General features: G+C 42.6%; 2 protein-coding genes across 24 annotated transcripts in view, besides 3 other annotated features; one reads left to right on the top strand and one right to left on the bottom strand.

Moving 5' to 3' along the window:
- TSGA10 (testis specific 10) overlaps window positions 1-15286 on the top strand; it is a 157706-nt gene that overhangs the window by 2524 nt on the left and 139896 nt on the right. For 3 of the 22 annotated variants that reach the window (NR_146054.1, NR_146053.2, NR_146055.2), the window contains one exon: window positions 4095-4179. The exons of 9 other annotated variants lie outside the window; for them this stretch is intronic. Coding sequence is in view for 4 of the 13 variants with exons in the window: in XM_011511935.4 (XP_011510237.1) it covers window positions 11304-11375 (72 nt within the window). In the remaining 9 variants the exon portion in view is untranslated. Of the gene's footprint in view, window positions 1-4094; window positions 4180-10739; window positions 11100-11262; window positions 11376-15286 lie in introns of those variants that run through there. 10 more of the 22 variants (XM_047445933.1, NM_001349014.1, NM_182911.4 and 7 more) reach the window with 4 other exon arrangements.
- Window positions 774-10736, bottom strand: C2orf15 (chromosome 2 open reading frame 15). Of its 2 annotated transcripts, NM_001317992.2 has the most exons (5): window positions 10506-10736; window positions 10042-10158; window positions 5321-5416; window positions 4950-5041; window positions 774-1960 (listed from the first exon to the last, which is right to left on the bottom strand). In NM_001317992.2, exon 5 carries the CDS (start codon window positions 1882-1884, stop codon window positions 1609-1611), a length of 276 nt encoding a protein of 91 aa, NP_001304921.2. In that variant the 5' UTR covers window positions 1885-1960; window positions 4950-5041; window positions 5321-5416; window positions 10042-10158; window positions 10506-10736; the 3' UTR covers window positions 774-1608. The 2 variants fall into 2 exon arrangements, with proteins under 2 accessions (NP_001304921.2, NP_653307.2); NM_144706.4 differs by lacking the exon at window positions 5321-5416.
- Window positions 9999-10805: an enhancer, noted in NCBI's record as "H3K27ac-H3K4me1 hESC enhancer chr2:99758101-99758907 (GRCh37/hg19 assembly coordinates)". NCBI's record gives its function as "activates a minimal SCP1, AML or CMV promoter by ChIP-STARR-seq in naive H9 embryonic stem cells {active_cell/tissue: H9 hESC(naive)}" and the evidence as "EXISTENCE:reporter gene assay evidence [ECO:0000049][PMID:30033119]".
- Window positions 11027-11336: a silencer, noted in NCBI's record as "silent region_11806". NCBI's record gives its function as "represses an Ori minimal core promoter by ATAC-STARR-seq in GM12878 lymphoblastoid cells {active_cell/tissue: GM12878}" and the evidence as "EXISTENCE:reporter gene assay evidence [ECO:0000049][PMID:35858748]".
- Window positions 11407-11476: a silencer, noted in NCBI's record as "silent region_11805". NCBI's record gives its function as "represses an Ori minimal core promoter by ATAC-STARR-seq in GM12878 lymphoblastoid cells {active_cell/tissue: GM12878}" and the evidence as "EXISTENCE:reporter gene assay evidence [ECO:0000049][PMID:35858748]".

The raw sequence follows: 15286 nt of genomic DNA, 5'->3' as shown, positions 1-15286 counted from the left end.
ATGGTGGCACATGCCTGTAATCCTAGCTACTAGGAGGCTGAGGCAGGAAGATCGCTTAAGAACAGGAATTCGACACTGCACTGAGCTATGATCGCTCCACTGCACTCCAGCCTGGGCAACAGAGTGAGACCATCTTAAAAAAAATCAGTTTTATGTGGTATGTCTTGTGTTGTGTTATGTCCCTCTGAATGCTATACGTTTCTTCATGGCATATCACAATTTGCATCTTATATAATTACTGTATAATCTCCTGTCTTTCCTAGTAGACAGGCACAAAACTCTACAAGGCACTGGCTATTTTATTCACTACTGTATCTCCAGCACCAAGCACAGTGCCAGGCTAGGTGAACAAATGAATGATTTATGTATTTTTTTTCTCTTCTAAAGAATTACGTTCTGTAAATAATAAAAAGCATTGTCTTTTTGGCTTATGTCCCATTCAACAATTGTTTTTCACTCTCAATATTCCCTACAAACACATTTGTTTAGTATTTTTCTGATTAATAAAATATAGCTTCCCCCCGGAAAAGATGCCCTTTCCTCTTTTAAAATGAATATTAAAGAGATTTCCAACTACCAGATATTTTCATAACTGATATACAAAACAAGGTTTTTAAACAGGTTGTTTTTTCTCATATTAAATATTGGTGACATAAAATGGTACCATCTGCAAGACAAACTATTAACACTTGGAAAGAACACTTTTCTAACTCTAAAATGGATTCTATGTGGGGGGAAAAAGCAGTTTTAAAGGCACGATTTAAAATGTGAAATCCTTCTGAAGATATGCAATTTATTGGTCTTTTGCAGTTTATTGGCAGTGATCTTTTACAGAACAAAAATGCAAAATGTAAGAAAGTAAAGTATCATAAAGCAGAATCCCAAAATGGAAATGTAACATACAAAACTGATACACCAGAAATATTGTGAAATACGGATGTCACATTGCTTGGACTTTTTTTTTTTTTTTTTTTTTTTTGAGACGGAGTTTTGCTCTTGTTGCCCAGGCTGGAGTACAATGGCATGACCTCAGCTCAGTGCAGCCTCCGCCTCCAGGGTTCAAGCGATTCTCCTTCCTCAGCCTCCCAGGTAGCTGGGATCACAGGTGCCCACCACCATGCCTGGCTAACTTTTTGCATTTTTAGTAGAGATGGGGTCTCACCATATTGGCCAGGCTGGTTGCGAACTCCTGACCTCAGGTGATTGACCCGCCTTGGCCTCCCAAAGTGCTGGGATTACAGGTGTGAGCCACTGCGCCCGGCTGCTTGGACACTTTTTTTAACCACTTGTTAAAGAAATACATTAAAATGAAAATGTTTTGATGCCATTCAAATACTGTTACTTAAAAACTCTGGTTTTTAAGAAGGATATAATATAATACCAGAGAAATCTGCTTTGAATCTTGGAAGGCTTTTTCACCCTAAAGCAACTGCCTTTTGAATAAGCATCATAAAAAAATGCAGTGTAAGATGATTCACAAATAGTGCAAAATAAGGCAATAGTCTTCCATCATTTTGTCAGGGTTTCCTAATAAGGTTAAGTTCTCTTTCAACACCCCCCTTAGTCAAAGGCAGTTTTTGGTTTCTTTGGTAATACGTACAAATTGCTTCATTCCACATCTGTCATTTCTAGTCCATCACTTTCTTTGACATATACCACTGAACCCAAGGCTTTCCCAGAAAGAGATCCTGTGCCAGTCCCTTCAATCCTTGTAAAGTTTTCTTGATTTGTGTCTTCTAATCTTATTTTCTTGGTGTTTTGAAATAACTGAGTCGCTGGTTCCAACCTGCTTTTTTCAGTCCCTCGTATTAAGTGATCATCCACTTTTGAATCCATATGTATAGCAGATACCTGAGTAGCAGATTTACTAAGTGAAAATCCCATTAGGATAGCTGAACAAATGTGAAAGTAATTTGCAGGTACCTTTTTAAGTAGTGGAAGTGTTTCTTCAACTTGATTACTGAAAAAAAAAAAAAAAGTAACAAGTGAATGCAGCAGGAATTTCCCTAACTTCATGGCAATGTTTGTTTGAATGAAAAGCTGTGGTGATACTAGAAATATAAAGTAAAATTGCCTCCTACCTTTCAGTGTTTACATTTTCTTTGTGGGAGGGTTTGCAGGTTCTAAAGATTTATTTGAAAGTCTTTTTAAAAGGAAATTTATCTGATTGTATGTTTTATCACCTTTCAGAAAATAGTAGAGCTTCTCTTAGTCCTTTCTTTCATTCTTGCTAGCGAAACCTCTTTATTCATTACTAATGGGCTAAAGAAATAACGACTGAAGGCCAAGTACTCTGCTAGTACTTTATTTTCTGTAAAAAATAAAGATGTCCTATAAAGATACTTGTGATTGGCTGGGTGCGGTGGCCCACGCCTGTAATCCCAGCACTTTGGGGGCCGAGGCGGGTGGATCACCAAAGGTTAGGATTGAGAGACCAGCCTGGCCAACATGGTGAAACCCCATCTCTGCTAAAAATACAAAAATTAGCTGGGTGTGGTGGCATGCACCTGAAATCCCAGCTATTCAGGAGGCTGAGGCAAGAGAATAGCTTGAACCTGGAAGACGGAGGTTGCAGTGAGCCAATATTGCACCACTGCACTCCAGCCTGGGCGACAAGAGCGAGACTCTGTCTTAAAAAAAAAAAAAAAAAAAAAAAAGATACTTGTGATTAAGGATGTCTAGTCTGTAAAAAGAGATGATCGGCCGAGCGCAGTGGCTCACACCTGTAATCCCAGCACTTTGGGAGGCTGAGGTGGGTGGATCACGAGGTCAGGAGATCGAGACCATCCTGGCTAATATGGTGAAACCCCATCTGTATTAAAAATACCAAGAATTAGCCGGGCGTGGTGGCGGGCACCTGTAGTCCCAGCTACTCGGGAGGCTGAGGCAGAAGAATGGTGTGAACCCGGGAGGCTGAGGTTGCAGTGAGCCGAGATCGCGCCACTGCACTCCAGCCTGGGCGACAGAGCGAGACTCCGTCTTAAAAAAAAAAAAAAAAAAGATGATCATGTAGCATGGAGGGAGGCCTTGGGAAGTTTCCCAAAGGAGGGGAGCCTAGGTTAGGGTTTCGCTTTCAAAGATGGGCAGGAATTTGGTAGGCAGAGTTGACCAGGATGGCAGAAGGGACAGGCTTCCTGTACAGAAAAGGTTTGAGAAAGCCCAGGGCTTACTGGAGAAGAGTGATCTACCCAAGATGCTATAGTAGCAACCTGAGATCTGGAGCAGATTCCACAGCTTCGATCGAAATCCCTCACCCATTTTTTTTTTTTTTTTGAGATGGAGTTTCACCCTTTCACCCAGGCTGGAGTGAAGTGGTGCGATCTCGGCTCACTGGACCTCCACCCGGCAGGTTAAAGTGATTTTCCTGCCTCAGCCTCCTGAGTAGCTGGGATTACAGGTGCCCGCCACCAGGCCCAGCTAATGTTTGTATTTTTATTTTTATTTTTATTTATTTTTTTTCCAGTCTATATTTTATTTATTGTGGTAAAATATATATAACATTTACCATTTTAAACACTTTTAAGTGTACAATTCAATGACATTGAGTACATTTACATTTTTGTGCAAACATCATGGTCATCCATCTCCAGAACTTTTAATCATCCCAAACAGAAACTCTAACGTTTGTATTTTTAGTAGAGACGGGGTTTCCCCATGTTGACCAGGCTGGTCTTGAACCCCTGACCTCAGGTGATCCACCCACCTCAGCTCCCAAAGTGCTAGGATTACAAGCATGAGCCACTGCGCTCAGCCTCACCCACTTTTTAGAATGTATTATGTCTTTAATATTTACCTACTGTGGTATCTTTGATAGTTTACAATTTCATACTCATCAAGCTGTAATTACTGACTGAACATTTCTAAAGAATCATCTTGAAACCCTGTTTATCCATATTTGTGACTGAATATCAGTGTTTATAACAAAACAGAGTCCTGGGTCTACTGTAGTAGCCTAAATATAGTACTTACTCAAATATTAATATAACAATTAGGTAAATAGTATATATTTGGCTTTCTGGGACTCAAATACAACTTAGCTAAATTTTTTAATATCTCTGATGAAATTCTGAAATATGGGTATATTTGATTTTTAGATTTGGAACTTGAAGATGAATTTTTCTTCCTCATCAAAGGAATATCTAATACTGCCTTCAAATGAATAAAATTGAGTTTATTCTATTTGGTTTCTCTTTTTCTTAGAAAGGAAATACTCCTGTCAAATGCATAACTTGAATCTAAACATGAGGAAACAATCAGATAAACCCAAACAGAAGTATCTTCTATGAAACAAATAGCTTCTACCTAAAAATGTCAATGTTATGAAAGACACAGAGAGGCTGAGGAACTGTTTCAGATTAAAGGAGGCTAAAGATACATTATTTCAGATGCAACCAATGCTCTTGAATTGGGAAGGGGATGGAATGTACTACAAAGATCATTACTTAGATAACTGAAACATTTGGATATGGGACAATATTAGATAATAATATTGGATCAATGTGATAAATGCCATGAATATGATAATTGTATTGTGGTTATATAAGTCAATGTCCTTGTTCTTAGGAAATACATACTGAAATAGTTAGGGGTGAAGAATTGTATCTGCAACTTGCCCTCAAATTGTTTAGCAATAGATAGATAGATACATAGATACAGAAAGACAGTAAAATATGCAAAATGCTAACAACTGTTAAATCTAGGAGGTAAAGCTTAAAAAGTTGTTCTACATATTATTATTATTACATTTCTGTAGGTTTAAAACTTTTTCAAAATACAAAATTGAAAAAACGTTTTAAAAAACACAAAACTCTAAAACATGGCATTTGAAATCAACAAACGTAAAAGAATGGTAACATATAATTATCAATTTGCACATTAAACTTCAATCTAATAAAAGGACTGAGGAGGAACCAAGTATAATAGGGTAGACTTGGCCCTGTGAGTCTTACCTTAACTTCCCCAGAGTTGAGGACATGAAGGGTGAACAAGTCTATTGGGGGCCTCTTTGGACTGGCATTTAGGTTGCCATTCAAGAAGAAATCTGGAATATATATGTAAGAATAAAGGTACATAAAGAGATAAATCAATCTGGAGAAAAAGAACAAAGTGGCTTTCTTTACTAGATATTAAGATAGGCTACGCGGCTGGGCACAATGGCTCACGCCTGTAATTCCAGCACTTTGGGAGGCCAAGGTGGAAAGATCTCTTGAGTCCAGCAGTTTGAGACCAGCCTGGGCAACATAGGGAGACCTCATCCCTATCAGAAAAAAATTAAAAAAAACAAAAAGATATGCCACAAAGTGAAAGTAATAAAAATAACCTTGTACAGGTACAGGAACAAATAATCAGTAGAATATGACAGAGCTGTAACTTGGACTTAGGTATTTCAGGAACTTCACATATATCACAGGTGGCACTATAAGACAAAGGAGATAGAACAGACTAAGTTTAGTATGATGGTATCGTGAACATTGGCTAACTATGTGGACATAAGCAGGATCTTAAACACAGAAGTAGGCTGGGCGCGGTGGCTCACGCCTGTAATCCTAGCCCTTTGGGAGGCTGAGGTGGGCGGATCACGAGGTCAGGAGTTCGAGACCAGCCTGATCAACATGGTGAAACTCTGTCTCTACTAAAAATACAAAAATTAGCCAGGTGTGGTGGCGGGTGCCTGTAATTCCAGCTACTCAGGAGGCTGAGGCAGGAGAATCGCTTGAACCCAGGGGGTGGAGGTTGCAGTGAGCTGAGATCATACCATTGCACTCCAGCCTGGGCGACAGAGCAAGACTCCGTCTCAAAAAGAAAAAAAAGTGGAGTGCAAATGCATTAAAGACCTAAATGTGAATGGCAGAACTGTAAATGCAATAGAAGAAAATATCTGTTACCTTGGAGTGAAGAAAGATTTCTTGAACAAGACTAAAAAGCTTAAACAATAAGGGAGGAAAACAGTGAGTTTGATTACTCATAATTGAGAATTTCTATTCAATGAAAAAAATATAAACAAAAAGATAGATAAGAGACTGGAAGGAGATATTTTCTGTGTCCAAAGCTGATGGTATTTAATGGCTGGAATAAAAAGAGAACACCTAGAAATTAGCAAGGAAAAAGAAAACCCAATAGAAAAATGGGCAAAGGATATAAAAACATAATTCACAGATTGAGGAATCCCAAACAGATAATTAACTAGGAATCAGAGAAATTCAAGTTGCAAAGAAATTGCAACCTCCGCCTTTCTGGGTTCACATGATTCTCCTGCTGAGGCCTCCCGAGTAGCTGGGATTACAGGCACCTGCCACCATGCCCGGCTAATTTTTGTATTTTTAGTAGAGACGATGTTTCGCCATGTTGGCCAGGCTGGTCTCGAATTCCTGACCTCAAGTGATCTGCCCTCCTTGGCCTCCTAAAGTGCTTGGATTACAGCATGAGCCACCGTACCTGGCCACATCTGGCTAATTTTTAAAATTCATTTTTTTTGTAGAGACAGGGTGTCACTGTGTTGCCCAGGCTGGTCTCGAATGCCTGTACTCAAGCAATCCTCCCACTTCCCAAAGTGCTGGGATTACTGGCGTAAGCCACCATGCCTGGACTGGTTTGAACCTTTTATAACAAAACCCAGATCACAGCAGTCCTCTGCTCAACACACTCTAGTTGCTTCCCATATCAGAGAAAAAAATTATCTACATATCTGGTCCCCAGCTGTGGTAGGCAGAATAATAGTCTTCAAAGATGTCTTTGTCCTAATCCCCAGAAGCTGGGACTATGTTATGTTATGTGGCAAGGGGGAATTAAGGTTGCTAATCAGCTGACTCTGAGGGTGGGAAAATTCTCCTGGATTAATTGGGTGGTACTAATGTAATCACAAGGGTCTTTTTTTTTTTTCTTTTTGGGACAGAGTCTCACTCTGTTGCCCAGGTTGGAGTGCAGTGGTGTGATCTAGGGTGACTGCAGCCTCCGCCTCCTGGGTTCAAGTGATTCTCGTGCCTCAGCTCCCAAGTAGCTGGGATTACAGGTGCCTGCCACCACGATCAGTTAATTTTTGTATTTTTGGGGAGAGACAGGGTTTTGCCATGTTGAACAGGCTGGTCTTGAACTCCTGACCTCAAGTGATCCACCTGCCTTGGCCTCCCAAAATGCTGGGATTATAGGTGTGAGTCACCGCACCTGCCACACAAGAGTCTTTAGAAGTGAAAGAGGGAGGTAGAATGTGTTAGCCATGATGCAATGTGAGGAGGACTTGACTGGCCATTTTTGGCGTTGAATATAGACTGGGATCACAAGCCAAGGAACATGGGCTGCCAGTAGAAGCTGGAAAGGCAAGAAAGGGGATTTTCCCCTAGAGCCTCCAGAAGGAATGTAGACCTGCCTGACATCTTGATTTTAGCCCAGTGAGACCCAATTTGAACTTGTAAATCTCCAGAACCGTGTGATAATAAATTTGTGTTGCTTAAAGACACCAAGTGTGTGGTAAATTGTTGCACAGCCGTAGCAAACAACTCTACTAGCAAGCACTCTCTCCTGTCTCTTTGCCTTATTCGACCCCAGACCTATCACCCCATTGCTGTTCCTCAAGCATATTCTATGCCAAACCTTCTCCTGCTTCAGGACCTTTGCACTTACAGTTCCCCCAGCCTGAAGCAATTTTTGCATTGCAAACCACATCCCTTGAGGATAGTTAGTGACATGGGGCCTGGAACTGTGAAGAATGGCAGACTTCTGCTGCTAGTCATGATGGAGTAACAGAGACCAGACTTATCCTCATGCTTTCAGCATCTTTTTTTTTTTTTTTTTTTTTTGAGACAGAGTTTTGTTCTTGTCCCCCAGGCTGGAGGGCGATGGCACGATCTCGGCTTACCGCAACCTCTGCCTCCCGGGTTCAAGCAAGTCTCCTGCCTCAGCCTCCCGAGTAGCTGGATTACAGGCATGAGCCACCGTGCCCCGCCTGCTTTCAGCATCAAAACACAAAACACATGAAGCAATGGCTTTTAGATATTGGACAACAGGCAGTTCGGGAGAGTGATCCTTGAGAAACAGGAAATAAAGTGAGCCCTATGAATGGACATTGCCTGGAACTTTCAGGCCTCGGCATAAGGAGGAAACTCTCTGATTTAAAAAACGGAACACAGGCCGGGCGCGGTGGCTCATGCCTGTAATCCCAGCACTTTGGGAGGCCGAGGCGGGCAGGTCATGAGGTCAGGAGATCGAGATCATCCTGGCTAACACAGTGAAACCCCGTCTCTACTAAAAATACAAAAAAATTAGCCGGGCGTGGTGGTGGGCGCCTGTAGTCCCAGCTGCTCGGGAGGCTGAGGCAGGAGAATGGCGTGAAGCCGCGAGGCAGAGCTTCCAGTGAGCGGAGATCGCGCCACTGCACTCCAGCCTGGGAGACAAAGCGAGACTCCATCTCAAAAAAACAAACAAAAAAAAGGAACACAGCATCAGTGAGCTGTGGAACAAGATCAAGTGGCTTAACACATATGGAATTGGAGTCCCAGATTTTTTTTTGAGGGGATCAGGAAGAGGACAGTGAAAACAAAACAAAAAATAGTAATAACAGAGGTTTTTGTAGTGAAGCTTTTGAAATGATGGAAAAATTAAGGGACTAGAAAACCAAGACCTTAGAAGGTGTCTGTCACGAGAGAGCAAGCACAGGGTACTATATAAGGCTTAGCCTGGGCCAGGCACAGTGGCTCATGCATATAATCCCAGCACTTGGGATGCTGAGGTGGGTGGATCACTTGAGTCCAGGAGTTCAAGACCAGCCTGGGCAACATGGTGAAACCGCATCTCTACAAAAACATACAAAAATTAGCTGGGCATGGTGGCACATACCTGTGGTCCCAGCTACTCAAGGGGCTAAGGCAGGAGAACTGCTTCAACCTGAAAGGTGGAGGGTGCAGTGAGCTGAGATCATGCCAACGCACTCCAGCCTGGGTACAGGGCAACAGAGTGAGACTCTGTCTTAAAAAAAAGGAAAAAAAAAAAAAGTCTGGGCGCAGTGGCTCACACCTGTAATCCCAGCACTTTGGGAGGCTGAGGCGGGTGGATCATGAGGTCAGGAGATCAAGACCATCCTGGCTAACACAGTGAAACCCTGTCTCTACTAAAAATACAAAAAACAAAAAACAAACAAAAAAAAAGCTGGGCGTAGTAGTGGGCGCCTGTAGTCCTAGCTACTTGGGAGGCTGAGGCAGGAGAATGGCATGAACCCGGGAGGCGGAGGTTGCAGTGAGCCGAGATCGTGCCACTGCACTCCAGCCTGGGCGACAGAGTGAGACTCTGTCTCAAAAAAAAAAAAAAAAAAAAAAAAAAGGTTTAGTTGGGGCAGGGTGGGACACTCACTACCCCTTGGGTTTCCACAGAGGGAAGGAAATTTTTACTTTCTCAGGTTAGGGGAGAAAGTCAACAGTTCTTGATAGGAAAAAAAAGGAAAATCTTTTCACCCTCTTTTGGCCTTAAAATGATCATTTCCTTATATTCTTTCCAAATAATCTTCAGTACCGTCTAGGTGGCATACATAAGTGCTTAAACTTTTCTTATTCTTTCTATAAGGGAAGTACTTTCCTACTTCCTATATTAATAATCTCCCCACCCCCGAAGTCTTCAACTCCAGCTGATAGTTTTAAACTTAGAACATTCTTTCCTATTTGTTTTTAATAATGCTAGATAATGTATTCAAAATAATCTTAGTATCTGAAGAGGAAATGAGATTATACATTATTCCCTCTAACATAACTTCTCAGTTTGTTATTTTGTGCATTTAAAAAATTACATTTCCGAGGATATGTGCTCCTTGTGTCCTCTAACCTCTTAATCTAAAATAACAGGGACACTTAATTTTTTTTGGTATCTAATTATACTTACAAAGTATATGATATCTGAAAATAAATGCGACAAAATATGAGACCATGTAATAACACGATGAAAAGACATTGGAAAAACATGGCATTTATATTAAATGTATTTTTATGACTAAATTTGTTCTACACAAAAGTTGTTTATCCCTGCCAATGATATCTTGTGGGGGGAAAAATGAGTACTCACCTGGCGAAAACAGGAATTGTTAGTCTCCTCAAACGAGAGCTTACTCTTGAAATACACAGCGTTCTACCATATCAAGGTCATCAGAGAATTGCTGTAAAAACCTAGTGTCTATGTCATCTGCAGGAAAAGGAGATAAAGTCACCATTATCATCCAGAAGCTCTTGAGTTATTTAAGAAGGGACATGGTAGGTATTAAGAAAAATTAAGAAGACTTTTTTCCCCCCCATTCTGGGCTCCAAAAAATTGGTAGAAGAATGCAGCGCTCATTCTTTTTCACTAAAAAGCTCATTTGTCACTTTAAGGTGAGGGGATTTGGAAAAGGACTGGCATGTGGAGAAGGAATATCGGTCAGGAATCTGGACTTTGTTGCTAGATCTGCCACTTCCTGATTCAGCCCTGATCGTGCAGAGCTGACCAAGGCCGTGGTCCCCAGGCTCCCCTGACTCCAGGCTGCCCACGCTCACCGGGACAGGCCGGCTCGCTCCCTGCAGGCTGCAGCGGGAGGGCTGGACCTGGAAGCCTCTCTTAAAACGGGCCCTGGCTGCAGCAGGAGCTGCGCCCGAAAGCAGCTCTGAGAGTAACCGGTTCACCGAACATGGGTCCAGAATGATGCCCAAGCCCTGGGAAAAGTGGCACAAAGCCACCGCCGCGAAGCAGCAGGTGTTTCAAGCTGAGGGAAGGCGGGGCTGCGAGAGACAGCCTTGCGCATGCGCGTTCCATCCAGGTGCGGCAGCCTCAGGCAGAGATTAAGAAATGAGTCGTGGAAAAGGGGGCTAGCGGCTGGTTACTAGGAGACGGGACGCTCGGCTCGGGCGTCTAGGCGCTGCGTGGGCGTGCGCCTGCGCGGCGCGGATGGGCCAGGAAGGGGTCCCTCCTAGGTGCCCTGTAAGGCAGGCAGGTAGACGTACGCGTCGCTCCGTGCGTAGGAGCGCGCGCACGGCTTGTAGACCCCGCGAGAAGGAAGGTCGAGCCAGGTACGCGTGCGCACCGGGCCTGGGGGCGAGCGGGACGGAAGCAAAGCTGGGGCGCCGGGGAGGTGGAAGACGAGCCCCACTCCGGTACAGAGCGTGAGGGCGGGGCCACGGCGGCACTGGCTGGCGCTAACCGCCCCCTCCTCCTTCCCGCGGGCTCCGTCCTTCCTCCGATCCGCCGGGGCGGGGCCAGGACGATTTGGGGGTGGGAAGGGAGGAGAAAGGGGCGGAGGATGGAGAGTGGGCGGTTCTTGTATCCCCCGCTGAGGCCGAGAGCTGACAGTCGCGGGGATGAGCTCTGGGCAGGACGGCGGGCCGAGGAGCCCGGGGAGGGACCCGGAGCTCCAGGTAGAAGCTGCGGAGGTGCGCGGGGTGGGGAGAGTGCTGCTACTGGACTGGAAGGTCTCTGAGAAGGCGGCTGCAAGCGGGCAGGAGTGGCGGGTGCGGGGCCGTGGCGGGCGGAGTTGGGCGCTAGCAGCGGGAGCGGCTGTGAGGGGCAGCGGCGGGCACAGCTGCCGGCCGGAAGCTCGGCAGCACGAGTTGCCCCTGTTTCTTGGGAGGTTAGGTTTGAGCCCAGTTCCTATGGTCACTGCTTCGCGTCCTCCCGCAGCTCTCCGCTTGGTTGTTGGGGAGACTGTTCAGTTTAGAAACGCTCTGGAAGCTCTGGTGGAGCCGAGGAATTTGGAAGTCACAGATTTGGGAGTTCAGCCTGACTCCCGATCGCTCATTTCTGAGCCTCTTTCTAGACTTGGGGTGGTGAAAGGCTGAGATTACATAGGCATTTGCATGAAAATCTCAGATAATTTTAGTAAAAATTATACACAGTAAAGGCAGGGAAAGCTGGCTTTTGTTGAAAAACTATTTGAGACTTAAATTGGATAACTAGGTGATCATGGACTTGATACCTAAAAACTCACAGAAATATGGTTTTTTTTCACTTTTTTTTTTTCGCAGCTTCGGGAAAGTTTGCATAGATTATAGTGTCCCAACGTTTTCCTTCTTCCATTCCAGGACCTTATATCCTAGGAGATTTCCTTGTTTAAAATTTTCTGTACTGGTGTTCAGCATTTCAAGTATACTTTGTTTACGTGTAAGGACATAAGTAGAATAACAATAGGTTTGTAAGTAGAAAAAAACAGGTTAGTTATAGAAGTAGGATGTCGCATTCGAATCTGCTTCCAGGATAAGACAGATTCTTGTTTGTATTTTAATTGATTAATGAGCCAAACTCTTCAGTCTTAATTAGTGGGAAATAACTAGGACGGTACATTAATTAAATATTAATTTTAAATCCTAAACTTTGGCATTATTTAATGGCAGCTTCCACAATATCTCGCGTACTGTTTACCTTCTGAAGAAAAATCACTGCCTGTAGCCCAGAATATAATCAGGTGTAGAGATTCTCTGGGAGATCTTTTCTGTCTTCTTTTTGAGTTGCTTAGACTAGTTTGTTTAGGACGATTTGGTTTTGAAGTCCTCCATACACAGAGGCAGTTAGAGGTATTACTATTTATCACCTTTTCAGATTACATATTTCTTTCCCTCCCCAGAGATAGCCACTCTCCTGACTTCTAAGATAGCCACTTCCTTGATTTTCCTTAATGTTTCACATCATTGTATGTGAACATGCACATTACAGTTTGGCTTGTTTTTGAACTTCGAATGGAATTGTACTAAGTATTCATTTACATCTTGCTTCTTTACTCAACATTTTTTTTAAGATTAATCTTTATTGTTGCTCGCAGTATTTAGTTTGCTGATTGTTTCCCAAAATATTTATCCACTTATTTTTATTATATAAAATACTCTCTCAGAATTATTCATAAATCTTGTATGGTTTTCCACATCCTTCTGTTAGTGAGGCAGTTCCTTTCTACTTCAATGTCTATAAGTCTACACTTTTGGAGACAATATTTTTAAAAAGAAAAACCCACCTCAACTGTAGTAAGCTTTTGTGGAACCAGATTTCAGAATTCCATTGAAGTACTCCAGTATTTTCCATTCTATCAAAAAATCAATAATTTGTTGAATACATATTATGTGCTTCATATTTTGCTCAACACCGATGATACTTTTTATTATATAATCTTAGCTCCTGTTTCACTGAAAAATTAAAATTCAACCAGACAGAAACTTCCTCAGATTTCCATGACACTTACCTTTTTTTTTTGAGACATGATCTCACTGTCGCTCAGGCTGGAGTGCAGTGGTGCGATCATGACTCATTGCAGCCTTGACCTCCCGGGCTCAAGTGATTCTCCTATCTCAGCCTCCCAAGTAGCTGGGACCACAGGTGGATGCCACTATGCCTGGCTAATTTATTTTTTAATTTTTGTAGATACAGGAACTCACTATGTTGTCCAGGCTGGTCTCAAATTCCTGGGCTCAAGTGATCCTCTGGCCTTGGCCTCCCAAAGTGTTGGGATTATTGGGATTACAAGTGTCTAAATCTTCACCTGTCCTTGCTTTTGTCTTTCTTGTGTCGGGGCAATACATCTTTATCTGGGTTTCCTCTTATTACCTCAGCTGTCTTTCTCCATCAATTAACATTAACTCATGCCTTAGGAATCTTCATTGTTTCTGTACTGTAGGGCTTCTTCACCTGGAGTCCAAGGACCTTATAGAGTCTTAAATCCCCTGAAATTGTTTGTAAAGGTGTATTTGCATTTTTCTGAGGAGAGGATGCAGGACTTTTAATTCTGAAAGAGGATCCTTATGTAAAGAGAATTAAGGAACAAGTTTTTCTCTTCCCATAATGACGTTTCCACAACCTTGGTTGTCTTCCACCTTTGTTGTACCTCTCTTCCTCTCACAATCATGCTTCCTAAAAGAAGTTTACATTTTCCATTTCTTTTTCTTTACTATTCATTCATTAGTCCCCTTCAGACTTGTTTTCACCCACCATTGAAACTGCTTTGTTCGAATCATTAAATTTTCTTATTTTGAAAATGTTTTATTGCGTTTCACCTTTGTGCTGGGCACTTTTAAGGCATTAGGGATAAAACAGAGACAAGACAAAAGCCTAGAGCTCTTGAATTTTATATTCTAGTATGGGGAGATAGTAAACAAGTCAGCAAATGATATAATTTCAAGTAGTGATAAGTGCAAATAGCTTATCACTTATTTGAGAGAGTGACTAGGAGAGAGGCTACTTTAGGTAAGAAGTCAGGGAAGACCCTCTGACATTTCAGCCAAAGAGCTGAGGGTGAGAAGATAGCCATGTGAAAGGCTGGGTAGAAAGTGTTCCTGAGAGAGGAAAAGCAAGAGCAGAGGACCTGAAGTCAAATGTTACTGGCAAATATCTTAGTCCATTCAGGCTGCTATAATGAAATAACATATAAGCAACAGAAATTTAATTCTTACAGTTCTGGAGACTGGGAATTCTAAGATCCAAGTTGCCAGCAGAATCAATGTCTGAGGTTTTTTGGTTCATAGATGGTACCTTCAGACTCTGTCCTCATATGTTAGAAGGGGCAAGGGAGCTCTCTGGGGCCTATTATATACAGGCAACTCATCATGGCTGTGCCTTTTTTTTTTTTTTTTTGACATGGAGTCTCACTCTGTTGCCCAGGCTGGAGTGCAGTGACACGATCTCGGCTCACTGCAATAAATCCCTTCTAATTTATTAGCAAATGTTGTTGGTTCAAATATATATCCTAAATCCATCCACTTCTCTATATTTTTGTTACCACCTCCCTGGTCCAAGTCACCATCATCTCCCACCTAAAATACTGCAACCATTCCCTGCTATCTTTCCGCTTCCACTGTTGCTCCCTACAACCTATTCTCCACACTGATATCATATCAATCACTTCAAAATAATGAGATCCTGTGGGAGGGGAGAAGGGAGAGGGAAAAAAAAATGAAAAAGAAAATTATAATAAGATGATCCTGGCTCAAAAATACACCAATGGCTTCCCACTGCAATTAAAAATAAAATCCAAACTTTGTAAGGCCTTACATGATTTGGCCCTTGTCTTCACTTACAAGATCTAGTACTCCCTTCTTTGTTCGCCCAATAGCTTTTTCTTTCTGTTCCTCTAATGTGTGGCTTCAGTCCGAATTTCTGTGTCCTCACAAAATTTTTAGGTTGAAATTCTAACCCCTAAGGTGATCACATTAAGAGGCAGAGTCTTGGCCGGGTGCAGTGGCTCACGCCTGTAATCCCAACAGTTTGGGAGGCTGAGGCGGGTGGATCATGAGGTCAGGAGTTTAACACCAGCCTGGCCAAGATGGTGAAACCCCATCTCTACTAAAAATACAAAGTTAGCTGG

This window comes from Homo sapiens, chromosome 2 (assembly GCF_000001405.40).
Source record: "Homo sapiens chromosome 2, GRCh38.p14 Primary Assembly".
Lineage (NCBI taxonomy): Eukaryota > Metazoa > Chordata > Mammalia > Primates > Hominidae > Homo > Homo sapiens.
The sequence above is the reverse complement of the archived record's forward strand: the minus strand, read 5'-3'. Positions and strand labels throughout refer to the sequence as shown.